We start from the raw sequence: 26,056 nt of genomic DNA, 5'->3' as shown, positions 1-26,056 counted from the left end.
TTTTCAAAAGCATTTTATATCACTGCATTTGTTCCACAGAATCATGTCACAATGTATGTTAAAAAATATGAATACACACATGCAATGCCCTCCCGCCCCCCACCAGTCTCTACCAAATACAAAAATTAGCCAGGTGCAGTGGTGCACACCTGTAGCCCCAGCTACTTGGAGACTGAGTCAGGAGAATTGCTTGAACCTAGGAGGCGAAGTTTGCAGTGAGCTGAGATCGTGCCACTGCACTCTAGCCTGAGCAACAGAAGGAGACTTTGTCTCCAAAAAAAAATTTTTTTTTTTTTTTTTTTTGATACAAGGTCTCATTCCATCACCCAGGCTGGGTGCAGTGGTGTGAACACATTTCACTGCAGGTTTGACCTCCTGGGCTCAAGTGATCCTCCTGCCTCAGCCTCCCAAGTAGCTGGGACTACAAGTACGCATCACCACGCCCAGTTGATCTTTCTATCTTTTGTAGAGGTGGGGTTTCGCCATGTTGCCCAGGCTGGTCTTGAACTCCTGACCTCAGGTGATCTGTCCACCTTGGCCTCCCAAAGTGCTGGGATTACAGGCGTGAGCCACCACGCCCGGCCAAAAAAAAATCTAAACATAGAGTTTACCATATTACCCACCAACTCTAATTCTAGGTGTATACTCAAGAGAAATGAAAGCATATATCCACACAAAAACTTGCATATAAATGTTTATAACAGTTTTATTCATAATAGGGAAAAAGTAGAAGTAACTCAAATGTCCATCAATGAATGAAGGTATAAATAAAATTTATTTTTTCACTGGAATTGTCTCTCTAGAGATGATGTTTGTTTTTATATATTAATTTATTTTTTGAGATGGGATCTTACTATGTTGCCTAGGCTGGCCTCAATCTCCTGGGCTCAAGTGATCCTCTTACCTCGGCCTCCTGAGTAACAGACTACAGATGTGCACTACCATATCTAGCTAACAAAATTTAGCACATCCATTCAATGGACTAATATTTGGCATAAAAAGGAGTTGAGTACTGACACATGCTATGGCATGGTTGGCCCTTGAAAACATTATGGTAAGTGAAATAAACCAGACACAAAGAACAACATATAATGTCATTCCATTTATATGAAATGTCTCGAATAGGTAAATCCATAGAGAGAGGAAGTAGATTAGTGGTTGCTGGGGGCCGGGAGTGAGTGATCAGGAGATGGGGGTGATAGTTAAAGAATGTGGGTTTTTTAGGTGGTGAATAAAATATTCTAAAATTGATTGTGGTGATGGTTGCACAACTCTGTGAATGTATTAAACACCATTGAATTGGATGCTTTATTTTATTTTATTTTATTTTATTTTATTTTATTTTATTTTTGACACAGAGTCTCGCACTGTCACCCAGGCTGGAGTGCAGTGGCGCGATCTCGGCTCACTGCAAGCTCTGCCTCCTGGGTTCACATCATTCTCCTGCCTCAGCCTCCTGAGTAGCTGGGACTACAGGTGCCCGCCACCACGCTCAGCTAATTTTTTGTATTTTTAGTAGGGACGGTGTTTCACCATGTTAACCAGGATGGTCTCGATCTCCTGACCTCATGATCTGCCTGCCTCAGCCTCCCAAAGTGCTGGGATTACAGGCGTGAGCCACTGCGCCTGGCTGTATGCTTTATTTTTTTAGAGTTAGCATCTCACTGTGTCACCCGGGCTAAAGTGCGGTGGGATGATCACAGCTCACTGCAGCCTCGAACCCCTGGTTTCAAGAGGTGTCACCGTGCCCAGCCAAATTGTATATTTTAAGTGTGTGAATTGTAGGGTATGTGAATTATTTCTCAAAAAAGCTGTTACTGAAAAAATGACAATTTCATATGGTCCAATCTAATCTGCAATAGCTTAAATAGCAGTGGTATACTATGATAAGGTTTGAAGATTTGATAGAGCCAGGCATGGTGGCTCATGCCTATAATCCTAGCACTTTGGGAGGCTGAGGTGGGTGGCTTGTTTTAGCCCAGGAGTTCAAGACAAGCTTAGGCAACATGGCAAGATCTCATCTCTACAAAAAATACAAAAATTAGCTGGGCATGGTGGCATGTGCCTGAAGTCCCAGCTACTCGGGAGGCTGAGCTGGGAAGATCACTTGAGCTCCAGAGGCAGAGGCTGCAGTGAGGAAAGATTGTGCCATTGCACTCCAGCCTGGGTGACAGAGCGAAACCCTGCCTCAAAAAAAAAAAAAGAAAAAAGAAAAAAGAAAAGAAAAAAGAGTTTACACGCGAAATGTGGACACTGCCTCAAAAAAAAAAAAAAAAAAGAAAAAAGAAAAGAAAAGAAAATAGAGTTTACATGTGAAATGTGAAAGAGAAGACACATGGTCCCTGCATATAGAAGAGGAGGCAATCAGTGGGGTTATTGAGAGGCGTGTTTTTTTTGTTTTTGTTTTTTTTCAGTACAGGAAAGACTTAGGCTTCTTTATAGGAGTGTGAGATGTGGAAGAAATAGGAACAAAGTTGATGGATGGACTCCAAAGTCCATGTGGAAGAATTAACCTTGGAAGGAGTCCAGTCTCTCTTCCATAAGACCAGAAGGAAGGAGGAAAGGATGGGTTCAGATACCAATTAGTTGATGGTGCAGAGAATGTTTTTCTTATTGGCCTCAATTTCCTGAGGAAAGAGGCAGAATCATTTGTGAAAATGACAGAAGGGATAGCAGGGCCATGGGTTTCGGAAGCCAGGAGGTTAGACAAGTTAGTAAGTGGCTGGGCACTGTGGCTCACGCCTGTAATCCGAGCACTTTGGGAGGCTGAGACGGGCAGATCGCCTGAGGTCAGGAGTTCAGACTAGCCTGACCAACATGGTGAAACCCCATCTCTATTAAAAATACAAAAATTAGCCAGGCATGGTGGCATGCGCCTGTAGTCCCAGCTACTCGGGAGGCTGAGGCAGGAGAATTGCTTGAACCCAGAAGATGGAGGTTGCAGTGAGCTGAGATCATGGCCATTGCACTCCAGCCTGGGCGACAGAGCGAGACTCCGTCTCAAAAAAAAAAAAAAAGAAAAAAAAGTTAGTAAGGTGGGTGGGAGAGGGAACTCAGACTCAGAGAGGCTTGGGAGCATTGAAGAGCCAGATGCCAGCAGAGGAGTGAATTCTTAGTGGCAGTGAGCCCCAGCTCCTGAAGCTCCCCCTGCAGTCCCCTGCAGCCTCATTTGGGAATAGTCTCCGCCTGAGTCATCTCTGCTTCAGTCCACACAACCTCAATTCTTTCAATGTTACTCATACATTTTGGCTTTGAGCCTCGTGCTCTCTGGATAATTGCCTCTGAACTTAACTGCCTTTTGGCACCCTTCCTCCCAGAACTGAATGTTCTTCCCGGGCTAGGGCTGACCCAAGTCCACCTCCCTGGTTCTGGGCCTTATACTTTGATTAATTCAGCCTGGGATGACCAGAGCACATTGGGCAGCCTTATTGCATTGGGTCAGTGACAGACAATTCCAAAGAGCGAGAGAAACATGTCTGTGAAGGCGTCAGCCCACGTGGTAGCCATGGCGGAACATGGGGTGGCAGGGAACAAGTGGTTTGCTATAAAGAAGCAAGAGAAAAGATGTTCAACATGCTGGCTAGTGGAGAATGTCTAGAGGTGTGGGGTCAGGGATCGGCTGAAACATATAGGTAGGCTATTGCCTAAGGACAGCATCTCACTGGCTAAGACAGCCAGACAGGCACAGCGGTCAGCACTTTGAGCCTAGTTACTGAGCACAGCCAATATGGCACCTCTACCACGAAGATCCATAGGTCATTAGGGTTCAGGGGTGCAGCAAGAGAAAGAGAAGAGTGTGAGGGAACCCCCTGGAGCACCACTTACTTATTTATTTAATATTCAGACATAGGCTGGGCACGGTGGCTCATGCCTATAATCCCAAAACTTTGAGAGGTCAAGGGGGGAGGCTCATCTGAGGTTAGGAGTTCGTAAGACCAGCCTGGCCAACATGGTGAAACCTGTCTCTACTAAAAATACAAAAATTAGCCGGGCATGGTGGCATGCGTCTGTAGTCCCAGCTACTTGGGAAGCTGAGGCAGGAGAATTGCTTAAACTTGGGAAGCAGAGATTGCAGTGAGCCAAGATCGCACCACTGCACTCCAGCCTGGGCAACAGAGTGAGACTCTGTCTCAAAAAAAAAAAGAAAAATTCAGACACAGGGTCTCACTATGTTGCCCAGGCTGGTCTTGAACTCCTCCTGGCCTTTGAGTGATCCTCCCGTCTCAGTTTCCCAAAGTGCTAAAATTACAGGTGTGAGCCACCTTGACCAGCCTCTGGGGCACCTTTTGATCCCAGCTATTACCAGATACTAGAGTTACTGTGGGTCAAAAACTTTGGGCACCCAGAACCTAAAGGGTCCCTGATTCTGGAAGGGGCAGAATCAAGCATGGTGGAAGGAACATAGCCTTTGGCATCAGAGCTAGATTTAAAGCCTGTCTCTGCTACTTATTTCCTGTGTAACACTAGCACTTGGCACATTGCTGAGCTTCTTAGAACTTCGGTGTCCATATCTGTAAAATGGAAATTAATAATTCTTACCCCTCAAGTCCTCAGGGTTGACTGTTAAAGAAATGGTATCTGTGGCCCTTCAGCTCAGTGCTCTCTTGTCCATCTCTGGGCTTTTGTATTTGTTATTTTCTCAGAAGCTTTTTTTTTTTTTTTTGGTAGAGACAGGGTTCCATTCTGTTGCCTGGGCCGGAGTGCAGTGGCGCAATCATAGCTCACTGCAGCCTTGGAATCCTAACCTTAGGCGATTCTCCCACCTCAGCCTCCCAAGTATCTGAGATGACAGGTGCACGCCACCATGCCCAGCTCATTTTAAAAATTTTTTGTAGAAATGGGATCTTGCTATGTTGCCCAGGCTTGTCTGGCACTCCTGGCCTCAAGCAATTCTCCCGCCTTGGCCTCTCAAACTGCTGGCATTACAGGTGTGAGACATCGTGCCTGGTCTAAGAGCACATTTTACTCAACCCAGCTTTGCCTGAATATCTCCTAGTCATCCTTTTGGTCTCATCTGGCTCTTTTCTTCCTCCTGGAAGTCCTCCTGGGTTGATTGTCTCTCTTCTGTGCTCTGTAGTGCTGCCCACTTTCACACCATGTGAGAATTCTTTGCCTGTCTCTCTCCTCACTAAGTCTGTGGAGGCACGAATAGGACTTAGTTCATCAGTGTATCCCCAGTTCATGGCACATACACACTGGTGCTCAACAGATATGATTTGATGGAATGAAGTTTTGAAGATTAAATGAGATAATCAATGTTTAACCCATGCTTCCCAAATCACACTGACTAGGTGGGTAAAAAACAGAAACATGAAACACTTATCCATTCAATACCCGCTCTGTAGGTTCTTCAGCTCCCTTAAAATTCTCCCCAAAGGGCCAGGAGTGTTGGCACACCCCTGTAATCCCAGCACTTTAGGAGGCCAAGGTGGGCAGATCTCTGAGGTTGGGAGTTCGAGACCAGCCTGGCCAACATAGTGAAACCCCGTCTCTACTAAAAATACAAAAGTAGCCAGGTGTGATGGCACATGCCCATAATCCCAGCTACTTGGGAGGCTGAGGCAGGAGAATCGCTTGAACCCAGGAGGCAGAGGTTGCAGTGAGCTGAGATCATGCCACTGCACTCCAGCCTGGCGACAGAGCAAGACTCTGCCAAAAAAACAAACAAAAAAAACCTCCCCAAAGACCCTAGGGAAACCTCAAGGAAGGGAGCACAGGCTCTGGAAATAAATCGAGTGGGTTTCCATCTTGGCTCTGGCATTTACCAGCTCTGTGACTTACTCTATCCATGCCTCAGTTTATGCACTTGTGAAATGATTCCTAACTCTGCCAAGGAGACTAAACATGCTAATATTTGCACAGTGCTTGTAATGGTCCCTGGAACACAGTAAAGAATGTACGGGTGTTTAATATATCTCCAAGCGCACCACACACCGGTCTTCCTGGCTACTGTGCCGTGTTCCTTGTCTCTCACTCCAACTGCCTATGATCATTTCCCACTACTGCTGGTGCCTCAAATGGCATTTAATCCAATCTTGGGGGGTTCAGGCAGCCTATGTATATTGCTTGGATTGCATTCAACCACACTCTTATAATACCCAAACCACCGCTTCTTCCACATGAATGTGCTTGTGAATCCATTGAGGACCCTGTAGATTCTGATTTGGAATCTGGGGCAGGCCTGAGATTCTGCATTTTTTGTTTTCTTTTTAATTTTTTTTGTAGAGTCGGGGTCTCGCTATGTTGCCCAGGCTGGTCTCAAACTTCTGGGCTCAAGCGGTCCTCCTGCCTCGGCCCCTCAAAGTGCTGGGATTATAGGCATGAGCTACAGTGCCTGGCCTGCATTTTTTTTTTTTTTTTTTTTGAGACAGAGCCTCACTGTGTCACCAGGCTGGAGTGCAGTGGTGCAATCTCTGCCTCCCAGGTTCAAGTGATTCTCCTGCTTCAGTCTTCCGATAGCTGGGATTACAGGTGCCTGCCACCACATGCAGCTAATTTTTGTATTTTTAATAGAGACAGGGTTTCACCATGTTGGTCAGGATGGTCTCGATCTCTTGACCTTGTGATCCACCCGCCTTGGCCTCCCAAAGTGCTGGGATTACAGGCGTGAGCCACCATGCCCGGCCCCAGTCTGCATTTCTAATAAGCTCCCAGGTAATGCTGATGTTGAAGGTTTACGGACCATATTTTTACTTGTTTTTGAGACAGGGTCTCCCTCTGTTGCCCAGGCTGGAGTACAGTGGTGCAATCTTGGCTCACTGCAAACTTCACCTCCTGGGCTCAAGTGATCATTCCACCTCAGCTTCCTAAGTAGCTGGGACTACAGGTGCGTGCCACCATGCCTAGCAAAGTTTTGTATTTTTAGTAGAGACAGAGTTTCACCATGTTGGCCAGGCTGGTCTCGAACTCCTGGCCTCAAATGGTCTGCCCACCTTGACCTCCCAAAGTGCTGGGATTACAGGTGTGAGCCACTGTGCCTGGCCCACATTTGTACTTAACAAATACCTAAACAGTAAAAATTTGTTTTTCTCACCAGTCTTTGTACTGAAGTGAAGAGAGACACAAGAGACACAACGATTCAGAAGAGGATTAGACAGAAAGATATCAAAAGATACCCAGACGTAGGTAGTTTCTGTCATTGCTTCAGCAGTTTTTCCTTTTATTTTTAGTTGACATGTAATAATTGTACATATTTATAGAAGACAGTGATATTTCAATATGTGTATACAATGTGCAATGATCAAATTAGCGTAATTAGCATATTCATCACCTCAAACTTTCAGGCCTCAGTGTTGTGAACATTCAAAATCCTCCTAGCTTTCTGAAAATATGCAATAAGCTACGGTGAACCATAGTCACTCACTAACTAGTGCTGCGGAACAACAGAACTCATCTTTCCTATCTAGCTGGTGTAAGCATTTTAATGCTATCAGTTCTCGTGTCTCTGTGATATTCTTGGCCACAAAATGACTGCTTCAGCTCCGGTCATCACATCCATGACCAAGGCAAAAAGAAGGGGAATGGCTAAAGGGAAGAGCTAGTTCTGAGTGTGCCCTTCTAATATGAAAGCCCTTCTTTCCTTCCTTCCTCCCTCCCTCCCTCCCCCTCCCCTTTCCCTTCCCTTCCTTTCCTTTCCTTTCTTTTTTTTTTTTTTTTTGAGACAGGGTCTCGCTCTGTTGCCCAGGCTGTACTGCAGTGGTGCAATCGTAGCTCACTGCAGCCTTGACCTCCTAGTCTCAAGCAATCCTCCCACCTCAGCCTTCTGAGTAGCTGGAACCACAGGCGAGCCACCACGCGTGGCTAATTTTTAAAATTTTTGTAGACACAGAGTCTCACTATTTTGCCCAGTCTGGTCTCAAACTCCTGGCCTTAAGCAATCCTCCCACCTTAGCCTCCCAGTGTACTAGGATTACAGGCGTAAGCTGCTTTGCCTGGCCACCCCTCATTTCTGATCCATTGTATTTGAGCTGAACAAGCACCTTTAGCATGAATTCTTTCCAGGGAGTTCTCATACTTTCTTTTTTTTTTTTTTTTTTTTGAGATGGAGTCTGACTCTGTCGCTCAGGCTGGAGTGCAGTGGCGCGATCTGGGCTCACTGCAAGCTCCGCCTCCTGGGTCCATGCCATTCTCCTGCCTCAGCCTCCCGAGTAGCTGGGACTACAGGCGCCCGCCACCACGCCCAGCTAATTTTTTGTAGTTTTAGTAGAGACGGGGTTTCACCGTGTTAGCCAGGATGGTCTTGATCTCCTGACCTCGTGATCCACCCGCCTCGGCCTCCCAAAGTGCTGGGATTACAGGGGCGAGCCACCGCTCTCGGCCCTCATACTTTCAACCACATAAAAAGCGCAGTGGAGTTTTTTCCTCTCCACCATTAGCTGTTCCCTTCTTGAGTCAATAACATCGTAATCCTATCTTGAGGGACAGAATCTCAGCCAAATGCTGGTGGGAATCCCATTAATTCCAAGCTCAAGGGGGTTGAGTCTAGAACTGAGGTTGAGCCAATCAGTGCACTCCTTCTCCCTAGGCAACCAGTGATTGGTTCAGGGATGGTGACGGTGACGTGGCCAAATTAACCACCAGGGCTGAAAAGACTCAATCCCGTGTTTTGCTTGAAACACCCGTGAAACAGACTTGCTTTTCCATGCTGAATGTCCACAAACACGGCCACAGCTGTAAAAACTTTTGGAAGGCCAGGCGGGGTGGCTCACGCCTGTAATCCCAGCACTTTGGGAGGCCGAGGCAGGCAGATCACGAGGTCAGGAGTTCGAGACCAGCCTGATCAAAATGGCGAAACCCCGTCTCTACTAAAAACACAAAAATTAGCCGGGCGTGGTGGTGCGCGCCTGTAATCCCAGCTACTGAGGATGCTGAGGCAGGAGAATCACTTGAACCCAGGAGGCGGAGGTTGCAGTGAGCCAAGATTGCGCCACTGTACTCCAGCCTGGGTGACAGAGCGAGACTGTCTCAAAAAAACAAAACAAAAAATATATATATGTATAAAAAGTAAAAACATAAGAGCTTCTGGGCTTTTATGCACTGGGCTTCTGTGACTTGCAGCTGGAAAACATAGTTGACACAGGTAGACATCATAACTTGGGATTATTTTATGCACAGCCTTCAATCAGTATCAGATACCCTTGGAGTACAGTTTCCTTCCCACCACTGGCTCGCTGCCTGACCTCACTCCCCAGAGTTTCGTTTTCTTCAGCTAGAAGAGGAGGAAAACAGAAATGCCTTTATTATGGGGTTAAATGAGATGGTGCTCGTGAAGAACTTAGCACAGGGCCCAGTACACTCCCGTGCCAGCAAGCAATGTCACATTATCCGATGTGGGTTTTCTGAATCAAATTAAAGCTGCAGGGCCCCAACAGCCCAACAGGTCTGGAGAAAGTTTCAGCTCAGCCATCAGAGGGCAGTGGTCCAGAGATGGCTCACAGTGATTCCAAATTTGTTTTAAGAGGGTCTCGCTCTGTCACTCAGGCTGGAGTGCAGTCGTGTGATCATAGCTCACTGCAGCCTTGACCGCCTGGGCTCAAATGATCCTCCTGCCTCAGCCTCCCATGTAGCTAGGATTACAGGTGTACAGCACCACACCCAGCTAATTTTTACATTTTTGTAGAGATGGGGTCTTGCTACGTTGCCCAGGCTGGTCTTGAGCTCCTGGCCTCAAGTGATCCTCCTGACTGGGCTTCCCTTGGCTCACTAGTCTTTTTTTTTTTTTTTTTTTTTTTTGAGACAGAGTCTTGCTCTGTCACCCAGGCTGGAGTGCAGTGGCGCGATCTCGGCTCACTGCAACCCTGCCTCCAGGGTTCAAGCGATTCTCCTGCCTCAGCCTCCTGAGTAGCTGGGACTACAGGCACAAGCTGCCACACCCAGCTAATTTTTTGTACTTTTAGTAGAGACAGGGTTTCACCATGTTAGCCAGGATGGTGTCGATCTCCTGGCCTCGTGATCCACCGGCCTCGGCCTCCCAAAGTGCTGGGATTACAAGCGTGAGCCACCGCGCCCAGCAAGGCTCACTAGTCTTATACTTGGATCACTGCAGTTAGGGTCATTGTGTCCATGTGTTGGGGTTTTGGAAACAGGGGGCTTGGCTGCTATTGTGCTGAGGTCGGAGACGGGGGCCTGGCTATGCTGGGAGCCTCAGGCAAGAGACCGAGTGTCCACCATGAGGTCCTTTCCCTCTTAAGCACTGTCACTTTCCCTGGGTGTTGTAAGAGGGGAGGCGTGAGTCTTCTATTCTTGTGGGGTCTGCCAGTCTCTGGCTCATTTCTAGTCCTGGGGACTCTTCTGCTCCCCTTGGCTGTCACTGCTCTGCCCTTCCTCCCTTTGAGATACTTGTGTTTCTCCTCTTGTCCTTGGGGATGACCCCATACATGTCCCAGAATAATAATATGTTGAAAAACAAAGCCAGAAATGAGGGTTGTTTTCGGAGTTACTTCTGCTTTCTTCCATGTTAATCAACCCTCTTTTTAAACATTTTTTTTTGAGATAGGGTCCCACTCTGTCACCCATGCTGGAGTGCAGTGGCGGTCTTGGCTCACTGCAGCCGTGACATCCTGGGCTCAACTGATCTTCCCATCTCAGCCCCCTGAGTAGCTAGGACTATAGGCACATGCTACCATATCCAGATAATTTTTGTATTTTTTGTAGAGATGGGGTTTTGCCATGTTGCCCAGGCTTGTCTTGACCTCCTGGGCTCCATCAATCCTTCCATCTCAGTCTCCTGAGTAGCTAGGATGACAGGTGCATGACACCATGCCTGGATAATTTTTTATTTTATTTGTTTATGTATTTTGAGATGGAGTCTCGCTCTGTCACCCAGGCTGGAGTGCAGTGGCGCGATCTCGGCTCACTGCAACCTCTGCCTCCCGGATTCAAGCGATTCTCCTGCCTCAGCCTCCCGAGTAGCTGGGATTACAGGTGTGCAACCACCATGCTGGGCTAATTTTTGTATTTTTAGTAGAGACGGGGTTTCACCACCTTGGCCAGGCTGGTCTCGAACTCCTGACCTCAAGTGATCTGCCTGCCTCGGCCTCCAAAAGAGCTGGGATTCCAGGCGTGAGCTACTGCGTCTGGCCTAATTTTTTTTTTTTTGTAGAGACTGGATCTCACTTTGCTTACGCTGGTCTTGAACTCCTGGACTCAAGTGATCCTCCCACCTCGGCCTCCCAAAGTGCTGGAATTACAGATGTGAGCCACTGCAACCCTCTTCTCGTGAGAGAACACAAAGTTTGGTGTCCTTCTTAGAACAAGGGAGGGAAATCCGCTGGAAATAAAATGAGTCAGTATCTCACTACATCATCTTAATAGTGTGAGTGTGTTTATTATTATTTTTCATAGGATTATTCGGCTTATTAAATTATTATTTTAAGTAGACTACAGTGAGGAATATATTACCGGTTTACCCGAATGTAAATATGACTTTGGCTCAAATCGGAGACCTCTGAGATTTGTGATAAGTAGTTTAGTGCAGTGTCTAGTGCCTACAGGAACTGTGATAAATATTAGTGCCCCTGTTTTTCCTCCCTGAGTTTTCACTAAGAACAGCTCCTGGTGAGGTGTTAGATGTCTAGAATTGACTGCCTCTTGTGTAAATTTCAGAGTTACATGTATAATATGACACCATATATATATGTATAATATATACACATATATATATAATTTTTTTTTAAGACAGGGTCTTGCTCTGTTGCCTAGGTGGGAATGCAGTGGCACAATCACGGCTCACTGCAGCCTCTTTTCTATTTTATTTTACTTTACTTTGTTTTATTTTATTTATCCCCTCTATTTTATTTTCTTTTATTTTACTTTTTGAGATGGAGGTTCACGCTGTCGCCCAGGCTGGAGTGCAGTGGTGCGATCTCAGCTCACTGCAACCTCCATCTCCCGGGTTCAAGTGATTCTCCTGCCTCAGCCTCCTGAGTAGCTGGGACTACAGGCGCCCACCACCATGCCCAGCTAATTTTTGTAGTTTTAGTAGAGACGGGTTTCACCATGTTGACCAGGCTGGTTTCGAACTCCTGGCCTCAAGTGATCCGCCTGCCTCAGCCTCCCAAAATGTTGGGATTACAGGTGTGAGCCACCACTCCCGGCCTCCCTTTTGTATTTTAAAATTACAATCTCCAGAGGTTCCCTAAGGTTTGTTGGAGGCCAGAAATAGACCAAGAAGGATGAAGATCTTTGCTGCTTAGAGCCACGACTCAACTAGATTTCAGAGAACGGACTCCCTGTCTATTTCTTGTACAAAAGAAACCCTGTAGCATGGAAACCCCATGTTAGAGACCCAATGGTCAAAAAGGAAAGCAAAGTATACTTTGTGGACACCCTGACTTGTGTTGCCTCGCTCCTCTCCTATTCACTCATTCTTTTTTTTAAATTGTAAGTTAACTTGCTAGAAAATTATTTTAGTTGCACACATAATATATGAATATATCCTCCTTTGAAAAAAGGTAAAACCTAGCAGTTAAGGGTGATGGGTCCTTTAATTGCCGCTGTCAGTCCTGGGCTTCTCTTTTCTGCTCAGTTCACTGAGTTTATAGTGTATCCTTCCAGATGTCTGTCCTTCTTTCCTTCCCTCCCTCCCTCCCTTCCTTCTTTTATTTCTTTTTCTTTCTTGAGACAGAGTCTCACTCTGTTGCCCAGGCAGGAGTACTGTGGCACAATCTCAGCTCACTGCAACTTCTGCCTCCCGGGTTCAAGTGATCCTCCCACCTCAGCCTCCTGAGCAGCTGGGACTACAGGCATGCACCACCACGCCTGGCTGATTTTTGTATTTTTAGTAGAGATGAGTTTCGTCATGTTGGCCAGGCTGTTCTCGAACTCCTGGCCTCAACTGATCTGCCCACTTTGGCTTCCCAAAGTGCTGGGATTACAGGTGTGAGCCACCGCGTCTGGCCCTTTCAGCCCCTTTCAGATGTTTTTCTAAATGTTTCCTTTTTCTCCAGAATCTACATTGTATTGTTGTCTATGAGCTTGATGCTTTATTTAAAAATGTAAAATGGGTTGGGCGCAGTGGCTCATGCCTGTTATCCCAGCACTCTGAAAAGCCAAAGTGGGAGGATCACTTGAGGCCAGGAGTTCGAGGTTGCAGTGAGCTATGACTGCACCACTGCACCCCAGCCTGGGTGATAGAGGAAGACTCTGTTTCTAAAAAAGGAAAAGAATACTAATTAGAGAAAAGACTAGTCAGGGCTTGAGAGCAGGCTTAACTATCTTTACCCTCCAAAGACCTTATATTTCTTCCCATGGAACACATTTGAAATATTTCATCAGGGGCCAGGTGCGGTGGCTCAGGCCTGTAATCCCAGCACTTTGGGAGGCCGAGGCGGGTGGATCACGAGGTCAGGAGATCGAGACGAATCCTGGCTAACACGGTGAAACCCCGTCTCTACCAAAAATACAAAAAAAATTAGCCGGGCGTGGTGGCGGGCGCCAGTAGTCCCAGCTACTTGGGAGGCTGAGGCAGGAGAATGGCGTGAACCCAGGAGGCGGAGCTTGCAGTGAGCTGAGATCTCGCCACTACACTCCAGCCTGGGCGACAGAGCAAGACTCCGTCTCAAAAAAAAAAAAAAAGAAAGAAAAGAACTTATTTTCACTTATTTTCTCTTTAGTTGTCATATTAAGTACTAGTGATTATAGTTGCTTGAATTTGGATTTAAGAGGCATTACCCTACTGGTTTGGCATACAGTTAAAAAGCAAAGCAAAGTATTTTGCTTTGTTGTTGAATAGATTTGGGTTCAGAACTACTGCCACTGTGCCATTTTGGGTGACTTTCTTCACATCACTGACTTTTGTTTCCCTTATCTATGAAATGGAGATGAAGTAAAATAATACTTGTGAACAGATGTTTTCATGTAGTAGGCACCCAATGAATATTAAGGCTATTTTATTATAATAGAAATTATTTCTGTGCACCTGGTTTGCCATAGAATACAGAAAGATACCATCCCTTGAAGCTTTTTGTTGAGGAAAAAAACCTCCACTTTTGAAGACCATATATTGGGAACTCCTGGCCAAATAATTTCCCTTCCTTGTTATTTCCTATTCATTTTCCATTAAAATTTTTTTTTCTTGTCCAGGCACGGTGGCTTATGCCTGTAATCTCAGCACTTTGGGACACTGAGATGGGAGGATCACTTAAGGTCAGGAGTTTGAGACCAGCTTGGGCAACATGGTGAGATCCCATCTCTACAAAGAATACAAAAATTAGCTGGGCATGGTGGCATGTGCCTGTAGTTTCAGCTACTCAAGAGGCTGAGACAAGAAGATTGTTTGAGCCCAGGAGTTTGAGACTTGAGTGAGCCATGTGTTCCAGCCTGGGTGACAGAATGAGACCCTATCTCAAAAAAAAAAAATTTTTTTTTTTTTTTTTTTTTTTTTTTTTTTTTTTTTTACTTTAAGCCTAGGAGTTTGAGACCAGCCTAGGCAACATAATGAGACCCAGTCTCTACAAAAATTTTTTAAAATTAGCCAGCCTTGGTGGTAGGTACCTATAGTCCTAGCTAACTGGGAAGTTGAGGCAGGTGATCGCTTGAGCCCAGGGGTTCGAGGCTTCAGTGAGCTATGATTGCACCACTGCATTTTAGCCTAGGCAACAAGTGAGACCCTGTCTCAAATTTTTTTTTCTCATAGCATGTGTCACCATATAACTGACTTTATATGTGTACTTATTCATTTTGTTTATTGTCTGTTCCTCCACTAAAACGTGCACTCTATAAGGGCAGCAATTTGTATCTGCCTTGTTCATTGCTCTATCCCTAGTGGCTAGCCCAGTGCTGGTACATAGGAGCTCCGAAAAATGTACTGAATGGATAAATGAATGAATAAATGAATGAATGAGCAAATGAATGAATATTCCTAAATTTTCTCCAGGCCCATCATGTGGTCTCATGGACTATGAACATTTGGAGTCTGAGGAAGAATTCTCATCAATGTGCGGATTTCAGCCTTCACTCCTAAATGTCTTCTTCAATCTGTTCTTGATCCATGTCCATATCAGACATCCTCTTGCTGCATGGCCAAGCCTCCGGTCTCAAATCCTGCCCACCTTCCTCGCTGCCACCAGAGGGCTCTTCCTAAAGCGTTGGCTGTGATCATGTCACTCTTCTCTGGAAGAACATGTGTTGCTTGTTTGTTTGTGTCTATGTTGCAGCTTGATGGTTAGTATCTCCAAGTGGTTGGATGCCAACCCTCTGTCCAGGTCAGATTCCCACGTTTATATCAGTTACAATAGTTCGTTACGTTTACACCAGTTAGCATAGTTAGGATGTTCCTGGCTTTTTGTTTGTGTTTTTTGTTTGTTTATTTTGTCTTTTGGAAATAGGGCCTTGGCTCTGTTGCACAGGCTAGAGTGCAGTTGCATGATTATAGACCATGACAGCCCCGAACTCCTGGGCTCAAGAGATCCTCCCGCGTCGGCCTCCCAAAATGCTGGGTTACAGGCATGAGCCACTGTGCCTGGCCATGGCAATTTGTTTTAAACCAAAACGTACCTCTAACTGGTTTAACCAATGTGGAAATTCATTGTATCCATAAAGTCCTGATTCTGAATAGAGTTCAAGTCTGATTTGACCCAGTGACTCTGGGTGCATTTCCCTTGGTTCATTCCTATATAGGTTTCATTCCTAGGCTCATAGAGAGAAAGCAGCTACAGTGCTGGCCTAGCTTCTACACTCAGGAATCTCCAGAAGGGGAGAGATGTGTGCATCCTGAGGCTCGCTCTTAAGGATCATGAGCCCCTTGTCTGACTTCCCTCTGGACCTCACTGGACTTAGTTGGGTCATTGCCCAGTCTTAAAATCATTCTTTATCTCTAGGCAAATGCCATGTCCTGATTGACTTAGGCCTGGATTTCTGAATCAATCACTGACACAGAGGATGAAATAGAATTGGTTTTTATCTATCAGACTCCACACTTTTCCTGCTTCCCTGGAGGTGAGGGTCAATGCCTCAAGTGGCTCCAGAAGGGTGGAGAGGAGGTGGAAAGGGCCGTGGTGAGAGGACACCATCTCATTCACAGTGTAGCTTGTAGAAGCCTGTACACCATCCCTTCAATTATCACACTTGTTACTTTGAAACAATGTGAGTGTATGAATACAAGAATGAGTAGGGTTTCACCTACTAGCTAAGAAAAGAAGCATGTCCAGGCTGGGCATGGTGGCTCACACCTGTAATCCCAGCACTTTGGGAGGCCAAGATCAGCAGATCACGAGGTCAGGAGATCGAGACCATCCCGGCTAACATGGTAAAACCCCGTCTCTACTAAAAATACAAAAAAAAAAAAATTAGCAGGGCATGGTGGTGGACACCTGTAGTCCCAGCTACTCGGGAGGCTGAGGCAGGAGAATGGCGTGAACCCAGGAGGCGGAGCTTGCAGTGAGCAGAGATCGCGCCATTGCACTCTAGCCTGGGCGACAAAAAAAAAAAAAAGAAAAGAAAAGAAAAGAAAAGAAAAGAAAAGAAAAGAAAAGAAGCATGTCCAAGAAAGTTGGAATAAGCTGCTTCTTCTTCTTCTTCTTCTTCTTCTTCTTCTTCTTCTTCCTCTTCCTCTTCCTCTTCTTCCTCTTCCTCTTCCTCTCCTTCTCCTTCTCCTTCTCTTGCTCTGTCACCCAGACGGGAGTGTAGTAACATGATCATAGCTCATTGTAGCCTGGATTCCTCAGGGCTCAAGTGATCTTCCTGCCTCAGCCCCTAGACTAGCTGGGACTACAGGTGCACATCACCTCACCCAGCTAATTTTTAAAATATTTTTGTAGAGATGGGAAAGGGCATCTCACTATGTTGCTCAGGCTAATGTTGAACCTCTGGACTCAAGACATCCTCCTGCTTTGGCCTCCCAAAGTGTTGGGATTACAGGCATGAGCCATTGCACCTGGCCATGCATGGCTTATTAAGGTTTGTTGCCATTAGAGCCCAAGGTGATAGGGCCAAGAAGAATTTCCAGAAATTAGACTAAGAGGATCTTACCCAAATTGTAAAAGACCTTACGTGCCATGATAAAGAGGCTAGAATTCATCCTTTAGTCATTCATCATCCACACATCCACTGAGTTCCACCTCCTTGGGCTTTAGTAGGAGGTGGAGATAAGATGGAGAAAGGAGGCACACATGATCTCTAACATCACTCAAGTAGGGGAGATGTAGACATTGAATGGATATTATATAAGTAGCTAATTATCTAGATGCTGCCTCCTCTGGTAGGGCCCATCCCCTAATTCCCTAGGGAGACCTAGTATCTCCCTCCTATGGACTCACAGGGTTCCGTGAGTTAGCGGTATTTAAGACAGGCAAGACTAAAAGCATTGTTCTAAGTGCATGCATTCACTTATTTAAACCTCAAAAAGCTCTGTGAAGTGGGCACTAGGACAGTCCCCATTTAACAGACAGGATAAGTAACTTGCCCAAGGACACAGAGCTAGTAAGTGGTAGAGCTGAAATCTGAATGTCTGTCCCACTCCAAATGCAGACTCCGAACCATCCAAGTAGGTGCCATCGTTATTCCCATTTTACAGATGAGAATACTGAGGCTCAGGGTGAGATTTATCTAAGGCCAGGGGGTTTAGGAGGGGAATCCAAACGCAGGCAGAAAGCAGAGCTCGGGCTTCCCACGGTGACGCCATACCACCCCTGCAGAGGCCTCTGTCGCGGCACCGATCCTATTGTGTAGTGCTTATTTACATGCCTGTCTCCATTTACCAAGTAGAGGCTCTTTGAGAGAAAAGACCAGATCTATTCTCTGCTTCTTCAGCTCCAACATCATTTTGGCGCTTAATCTACTATGCAAATGTTTGTTGAATGAATCAAATGACTGACAAATGAAAGAAAGAATGAGTAAATAATTATTTATGAAGTGCCCAGACGCAGGGGATGGCCTGTGATGAGAAGGGTTTAGAAATATTCTTAGCAAATTGGGGATGTGTGTGAGCCTCTGTTTCTGCAGCCTCAAGAAGAAACAAAACCCTTGGAAAGGAAGAAAGAAAGAAAATGGGGCATAACAAGGATTCCAGGCTGGATTCCATGATGTCATCCTAAATTGGATGTCTGGACTTGGTGAACAAAGGCTCTGGTGACATGGGTCCTGGCCAGGCTGGCCTCTCGGCTCGCGTGAGGGAAGTGGTTAAAGTGAACTGCCCCAGAGCCCGTCTCCACCCCAGGCTTTTGCCCAGACGCCTCTGCATTCAGCAGGTATCTCATCCAAGAGAAAACCAGGACAGGAAATCGCGTTGCCATGGAGACCGGAGAGGCCCTTCCAGACACAGGGGAAAATAAACACGTTCTGGTTGGACTTAACCCCCACGAAGCCAGGTCCAAGAGGTCCTGGTTTTCACTAGAAATGTCCAGTGGGCTCTCCTCCAAGGCCCCTCAACATCCTCAGCACTAAGGGCTGAATGGCAATGCTAGCCCACAAAGAGTTCTAGGGGTCATGCCAACCCAGGGCTGAAGGATGAATCCATTTTGTGCCCAGACCTAAGACCTCTGTCTCCTTCAGAACTGGGAACTGGATAGACAACTGTTGTGTCAGGCACATTTCTACACATTTTGGATCTAGAACTCATTTAATCCTCATGACAACTCAACAGAGAAAACCTAGTTATTACTATCATACCCATTTTACTGATGAGCAAACCGAGGCACAGAGAGATGGAGTGACTCGCCCAAGGGCACCAGATAGTTGGTAGTGGCACCAGAATTTAAGACATTTTCAGAGTGCTTGGGCAATAGATCATTGTGCTGAATAATACAATGTGGCTGCGCACGGTGGTTCACACCCAGAATCCCAGCACTTTGGGAGGCCAAGGCAGGCAGATCGCTTGAGTCCAGGAGTTTGAGACCAGCTTGGGCAATAAAGTGAGACTTCATCTCTACTAAAAAATAAACAAAATTCACCGGGCATTGTGGTGCGTGCCTGTAATCCCAGCTACTTGGGAGGCTGAGGTGGTAGGATCACTTGAGCCTGGGAGGCGGAGGTTGCAGTGAGCCAAGATGGTGCCACTGTACTCCAACCTGGGCCACAGAGAGTAAGGTCTTGTCTCTCCCCTTTCTGCCAAAAAAGAATACAATATGACCTTGGGTAAGTTAATTAGTCTTTCTGAGCCTCAGTTTCCCTACCGGTGTATACGCCACTACCTTGAAAGATTGTTGTGAGGTTAAATTTCCTGTACATTTTTTGAGCACTTACTCTAAGCTAAGCACTATGTCGGGCCCCGGAAGTATCATAGAAAAGAAGACAAACGCAATTCTAGGATCACACAGCCTGTGGATGGGCAGGTGCTTCCAGTTCAGAGAGAGAGAGAGACCCCTCTGGAAGCCCTGAGTTTGGAAGGATTTGGCCTCTTGGAAGAACTGCAAGAAGGCCAGAGGGGCTGAAGTTCCCAAGAGCATGGAGGCAAGTGTCAGAAGCTGGATTCCGTAGGGACCAGGGTAGCTTTTATCTCTAAAAGGGCTTCCCAGGCCTGACTCAGAGTGAGTTTAGAAGAAAGTGAAGTTTCATGTGCATTGTTAGAGGGTCTGTCCTGCCTGACACCGGCTGCTTTTGTGTGGGCCTTGAACTAAAAATGGTTTTAGTTTTTATTTTTATTAGAGACACAGTCTCGCTCTGTTGCCCAGGCTGGAGTGCAGTAATGTGATCACAGCTCACGGTAACCTCGAACTCTTGGGCTCTGGTTATCCTCCCACCTCAGCCTCCTGAGTAAGTGGGACTAAAGACAACTGTCACTTCACTCAGCCGATTTTTAAATTTTTTGTAGAGATGGGGTCTCACTCTATTGCCCAGGTTGGTCTTGCACTCCTGGCCTCAAGTGATCCTCCCATCTTGGTTTCCCAAAGCACTGGGATTACAGGTGTGAGCTGCTGTGCCCAGCCCTACATTTTAAAACACTGAAAAAGAATCCAAAGAAGAATACTATTTTGTGACATGTAAAAATTAGGTAAAATTCAAATTTCAGCATCTATAAATAAAATTGTGTTATGTTTTTGTTTTAAGACAGGGCCTCGCTCTGTTGCCCAGGCTGGAATGCGGTGGCTCGATCTCAGCTCACTGCAGCGTCTACCTCCTGGGGGCCAAGTGATCCTCCCACCTCAGCCCCCCAAGTAGCTGGGACCCCACGTGCCACCACCACACCTAGCTAATCTTGTTTATTTTATTTTTTTGTAGAGTTGAGGTCTCATTGTGTTGCCCAGGCTGGTCTCAAACTCCTGGGCTCAAGCAATCCTCCCACCTCAGTCTCCCAAATGGATTACAGGCATAAGCCATTGTGCCCAGCCATATAAATAAAGTTTTATTGACATACAGTCACACCCATTCATTAAGGATTGTCATGGGTGCTTTTGCACTACAATGGCAGAGTTGAATAGTGGTGACAAAGATGTTTGATTCACAAAGACTAAACTATTTACTACTACTCTGTTAAGAAGCTCACTGAGGCTTGGACAAGACACTCCTGGCTTTAGGGTGCAGAGTCTAATTAGGGAGAGCTCACACATCAGTACCTTTGAAGGGGAAGAGAGACTGGGAAGCAACAGTTCACTGTGAGTTAGTGTCGATGCCTATAATACCTTTATACCTGCTAGGGCTCACTAGGTGCAGGGCACTCTCCTTATTTTACCTCATTAAGTCCTGAGGCCTGTGGTTGTCCTTACTTTACAGATGAGGAAACTGAGGACAGCGAGAAGAGCTAAGGAAATTGCCCAAGGTTGCACAGCTAGTCGGTGGCAGAAACAGGACTTGAACTCGGGCAGTTTACCTCCAGAATCTGGGCTGTTAGCACGGCACTCTACCACCTCCCATGGGGAAGAGGGTGGCTGATGTTGGTGATGAACACAGCTGTGGCTTGTCTGCTGAGCCTTGCCTGAGCTACCATCTCACATGTCATAAAAACTGCAGGATAGGGGCTGGGCACGGTGGCTCATGCCTGTAATCCAAGCACTTTGGGAGGCCAAGTGGGAGGATCGCTTGAGCACAGGTGTTTAAAACCAGCCTGGGCAACATAGCAAGACTCCGTCTCTACAAAATAATTTAAAAAATTGCTGGGCATGGTGGTGTATGCCTGTAGTCCCACCTACTTGGGAGGCTGAGGTGGGAGGATTGCTTGAGCCCAGGAGGTTGAGGCTGAAGTAAACTATGATTGTGCCACTGCACTCCAGTGAGTGATAGAGTGAGAACTTGTCTCAAAAACAACAATAGTAACAACAACAAAAAAACACCAAAACCCAAAAAACTGCAGGAGAGCCTTTTCCTGCCACTAGAGCTGTTTTGGGGGCTTCCAGTATCTGATAAGAGTTTGTGCTCGTCATGGGGTCTCCTTGCTCTCAGTTCCAAGCTTCATAGCACATATGAGCCCAGGGCATTGGAGCCTCCAAAACTAGCTGGTGACCTTGGACAAGTTAATGAATCTCTCTGAGCCTCAGTTTTCCATTAGAATGTAAACAACTATCTTGAAGGATTATTGTGAGGGTTAAATTCAATGATGCATTTATCGAACACTTGGTGTACGCCTTGTGTCTTGGGAGGCTAAGTGTATACACTGTTCGATGGGCTCCCTTGTCTTCTGGCTTCCCATTGGTTTTGACCAATAGGGAGCCCCAGAAGATGATTGAGGAAGGGAGGAGACGGGGCTTGGGGCATTTATTCTCTGGCTGCTTCTCTGCGGTCATTCTGCGTGCTGGCTGCCTTAAAGTCACATTTCCCACCTCGGTGGCCCTCTCTCTATAGGCTTCTCAGTCTCTAGGGTACAGTGGTCATTCTTCCCCTTGGCCTTTCAGGCATAGGGGTGGTAACAGAAGCCAGCCTAATTAGTCCTGTGGATCCTTGCGGTTTTCTGCCCTCCGTTTGTAGAGTTCCTCTATTCAATCTTCCTTCAGCTGCGTGTGGTAGCTCATGCCTGTCATCCCAGCACTTAGGGAGGCCGAGGCAGGCAGACCGCTTGAGTCCAGGAGTTTGAGACCAGCCTGGACCATATGGCAAAACCCCATCTCTACTGAAAAAAAAAAAAAAAAAGCTGGGCGTGGTGGTGCACGCCTGTAGTCCCAGCTACTTGGGAGGCGAGGTGAGAGTATCGCTTGACCTTGAGAGGTTGAGGCTGCGGTGAGCTGAGATCACACCACTGCACTCCAGCCTGAGCAACAGAGCAAGACCCTGCCTTTAAAAAAAAAAAAATCAAACAAGTCCTCCTTTCATGACCTAATTTGAACATGTCTTCTCTTTCCTTCCCTTGACTGATGCATTCTTTGTTTACATTAATTACTCAAGTAGATCTGGTAGACTGTGTGCATTCTGCCCAGTTTCACAAAATAGCCACTCTCCAATTCCCCCGTACAACATTTACAGACAGTTGACTATCCTATCACAACTTACATCAGAGATGAATGATACTTATACTGGCGAGGCCGTGGGGAACAGAGGTGCTTTCATCGACAGATGGGCGGGAATATAATATAGTACAAGCTAAATACAGAGGAGTTTGGCAACACGTTGCAACATTTTAAAATATGCATCCCTTTTGACTCAGCAGTTTCATCTTTAGGAATTTATCTCAAGGAAATAATTATGGTAGTGTGAAAATAGTAATGTACTGGGGTACAATCAAACCAGTTGTCTATCAGTAGTTGACTAATTAATTAATTCCCATTTGTTGGGTGCCTATTAAGCATCAAGCACTGTTCTAGCCCCTAAGGATAGAGCAGCAAATAAATCTGAAAAAGCCCTGTTTTCATGGAGCTTATATTTTAACAGTTGGACTAATTACAACACATGTATACAATGGAATGACATGCAACTAGGCAGAAAAAATTAGTAGCTCACTATGAATGATTATGAAAATATGTCCACAATATATTACTAATAGAAAAAAAACAGGTTAGGTCAGGTGCGATGGCTCACGCCTGCAATCCTAGCATTCTGGGAGGCTGAGGCAGGCGGATCACTTGAGGTCAGGAGTTTGAGACTAGCCTGGCCAACATGGGAAAACCCTGTCTCTACTAAAAATACAAAAATTAGCTGGGCATGGTGGCGCATGCCTGTAATCCCAGCTACCCGGGAGGCTGAGGCAGGAGAATCACTTGAATCCAGGAGGTGTAGGCTGCAGTGAGCCGAGATCACGCCACTGCTCTCCAGCCTGGGCAACAAAGCAAGACTCGGTCTCAAACAAACAAACAAAAAACACCAAGTTAAAAAATGGTAAATAAAATAGGATCCTTTTTATCTATTAGATTTAGAAAAAAGGTATGGAAGAATATAAAACAAATTGTTAATAATTATTAATTGGAGAGATGGGGCTAACATGGACTTTTACTTTCTGTTTGATATGGTTCTGAGTTATTTTGGTTTTATTATAAAAAGCTTTACTGTCTAAGCACTTTGGGAGGCTGAGGCAGGAAGATTGTTTGAGCCCAGAAGTTTGAGATCAGCCTGGGCAATACAGTGAGACCTAGTCTCTCAAAAAAAAAATTTTTTTTTTTTAATTAGCCGAGTGTGGTTGTGCACGCCTGTAGTCTCAGCTACTCGGGAGGCTGAGGAGGATTGCTTGAGCATGGAAGGCAGAGGTTGGTTGCAGTGAGCTGAAATCGTGCCATTGCAGTCCAGCATGGGTGACAGAGCAAGACCCTGTCAAAAAACAAACAAACAAACAAAAAAACGCTTCCTAATAAATAATAGTTCCTTTTTTTTTTTTTTTTGATGGAGTCTTGCTCTGTTGCCCAGGCTGGAGTGCAGTGGCAGGATACTGGCTCACCACAACCTCTGCCTCCAGGTTCAAGTGATTCTTCCGCCTCAGCCTCCCAAGTATCTGGGACTACAGGTGCGTGCCACCACACCCAGCTAATTTTTGTATTTTTAGTAGAGATGAGGTTTCACTATGTTGGTGAGGCTGGTCTTGAACTCTGACCTCATGATCTGCCTGCCTCGACCTCCCAAACTGTTGGGATTACAGGTGTGAGCCACCGCACCGGGCCTCCTTTTTTTTTTTTAAGAGACAGTGTCTGACTCTGTCACCCAGGCTAGAGTACAGTGGTGTGATCATGGCTCACCATAGCCTGGACCTCTCAGAGTCAAGCAATCCTCCCTCCTCAGCCTCCAGAGTAGCTAGGACTACAGGCACATGCTACCATGCCCAGATACTTTTTTTTTTTCTGCATAAAGACAGGGTCTTGCTATGTTGCCCAGGCTGGTCTTGGATAAGTCATCCTCCCGCCTTCAGCCTCCCAAAGTGCTAGGGTAACAGGAAAGAACCACTGTACCTGGCCAAATATATTCTTCATATAAAATTTTTAAAAACTGTGGACAAAAGCTAATTCCTTCTTAAGCACCCCCAGGAAATCACTAGCTATCAGGTGATATGTTTACCTCCAGATTTATTTAAATGCATTTATATACATTTATGTGTAGCTACAGAAGACATGTAATGTGTTAAGTTGTATTTTATTTTACATGGATGATATCCTGGAGTGAATATTGTTCTGAATCTTGTTTAAAGATCCAGTGGGCCAGGTACAGTGGCTCACACCTGTAATCTCAGCACTTTGGGAGGCTGAAGCGGGAGGATTGCTTGAGTACAGGAGTTTAAGACCAGCCTGGGCAACATAGTGAGACCTTGTCTCTAAAAAAAAATAAAATTGCCAGGTGGGGTGGCTCACGCCTGTAATCCTAGCACTTTGGGAGGCCGAGGCGGGTGGATTGCCTGAGCTCAGGAGTTCGAGACCAGCCTGGGCAACGTGGTAAAACCTTGTCTCTATTAAAATACAAAAAATTAGCCAGATGTGGCAGCGTGTGCCTGTAGTCCCAGCTACTTGGGAGGCTGAGGCTGGAGAATTGCTAGAACTCAGGAGGCAGAGGTTGCAGTGAGCTGAGATCACACCACTGCACTCCAGCCTGGGCGACAGAGCAAGACTCCGTCTTTGAAAAAAAACAAAAAAAACAAAATTAGTCAGGTATGGTGGTATGTGCCTGTAGTCTCAGCTATTTAGTAGGCTCAGGTGGGAAGATCGCTTGAGCCCTGGACGTCGAGGCTGCCTTGAGCCAAGATTGTGCCACTACATTCCAGCCTGGGCAACAGAGAGAGACCCTGTCTCAAGAGAAAAAAAAATTCAATGTCTTGGCCGGGCGCAGTGGCTCAGCCTGTAATCCCAGCACTTTGGGAGGCCAAGGTGGGTGGATCACCTGAGGTTGGGAGTTTGAGACCAGCCTGACTAACATGGAGAAACCCCGTCTCTATTAAAAATACAAAATTAGCTAGGCGTGGTGGCGCTTGCCTGTAATCCCAGCTACTCGGGAGGCTGAGGCAGGAGAATTGCTTCAATCTGGGAGGCGGAGGTTGCGGTGAGCGGAGATTGTGCCATTGCACTCCAGCCTGGGCAACAAGAGCGAAACTCTATATCCAAAAAAAAAAAAAAAAAAAATTCAATGTTTTAAAGGTCTTTTCATATTAGTACTTTTAGATTGACTTAGTCTCTCTCTGAACCACTAGTGTGTATATACAAGTTAATTCGGGTCATTAGAGGGTTTAGAGTTCACAGTTTGAAATGGAGCCTGGGTCATGTATTAGTTATCTATATTTGCATAACAATTTTCCCCAGAACTCAGCACCTTGAAACGACAAATATTATCTCACAGTCTCTCGCAGGTTGCAATCAGGTGTTGGCCAGGACTATGGTCTCATGTGATAGCTCAAGTTGGGAGAATCTTTTTTGAGGCAGGGTCTCACTCTGTCACCCAGGCTGAAGTGCAGTGGTATAATCTTGGCTCACTGCAGCTTTGACCTCCCAGGCTCAAGTGATCCTCCCAGCTCAGCCTCTCAAGTAGCTGGGGCTACAGGCATGCGCCACCATGCCTGGCTGGGAGAATCCGCTTCTAAGCTCATGCACTGGTCATCAGCAGATCTCCCTGATGGCTGTTGGCTGGAGATTTCTCTTCAGATCCTTGCCAGGTGGGCCTTTCCATGGGACAGCTCACAGCATAATAGCTGTCTTCTCTCAGAGAGGGACAAGGAAGCAAAGACATGCATGACAGAAGCTTTTTATCACCTAATACTGGAAGCGGCATTCCATCACTTTTGCCATAGCCT

At 46.1% G+C, this 26,056-nt stretch overlaps 1 protein-coding gene across 14 annotated transcripts in view, besides 2 other annotated features; it reads right to left on the bottom strand.

Annotated features, from left to right (window-relative positions):
* Nucleotides 1-26,056, bottom strand: part of TNRC6A (trinucleotide repeat containing adaptor 6A) — a 216,014-nt gene that overhangs the window by 121,833 nt on the left and 68,125 nt on the right. The gene's annotated exons all lie outside the window — the stretch shown is intronic.
* Nucleotides 17,647-18,146: an enhancer, noted in NCBI's record as "H3K4me1 hESC enhancer chr16:24697561-24698060 (GRCh37/hg19 assembly coordinates)". NCBI's record gives its function as "activates a minimal SCP1, AML or CMV promoter by ChIP-STARR-seq in primed H9 embryonic stem cells {active_cell/tissue: H9 hESC(primed)}" and the evidence as "EXISTENCE:reporter gene assay evidence [ECO:0000049][PMID:30033119]".
* Nucleotides 20,042-20,632: an enhancer, noted in NCBI's record as "OCT4-NANOG hESC enhancer chr16:24695075-24695665 (GRCh37/hg19 assembly coordinates)". NCBI's record gives its function as "activates a minimal SCP1, AML or CMV promoter by ChIP-STARR-seq in naive H9 embryonic stem cells {active_cell/tissue: H9 hESC(naive)}" and the evidence as "EXISTENCE:reporter gene assay evidence [ECO:0000049][PMID:30033119]".

Source organism: Homo sapiens, chromosome 16 (assembly GCF_000001405.40).
Source record: "Homo sapiens chromosome 16, GRCh38.p14 Primary Assembly".
NCBI classification, from domain to species: Eukaryota; Metazoa; Chordata; class Mammalia; order Primates; family Hominidae; genus Homo; species Homo sapiens.
This window is presented reverse-complemented; position numbering and strand designations above follow the sequence as displayed.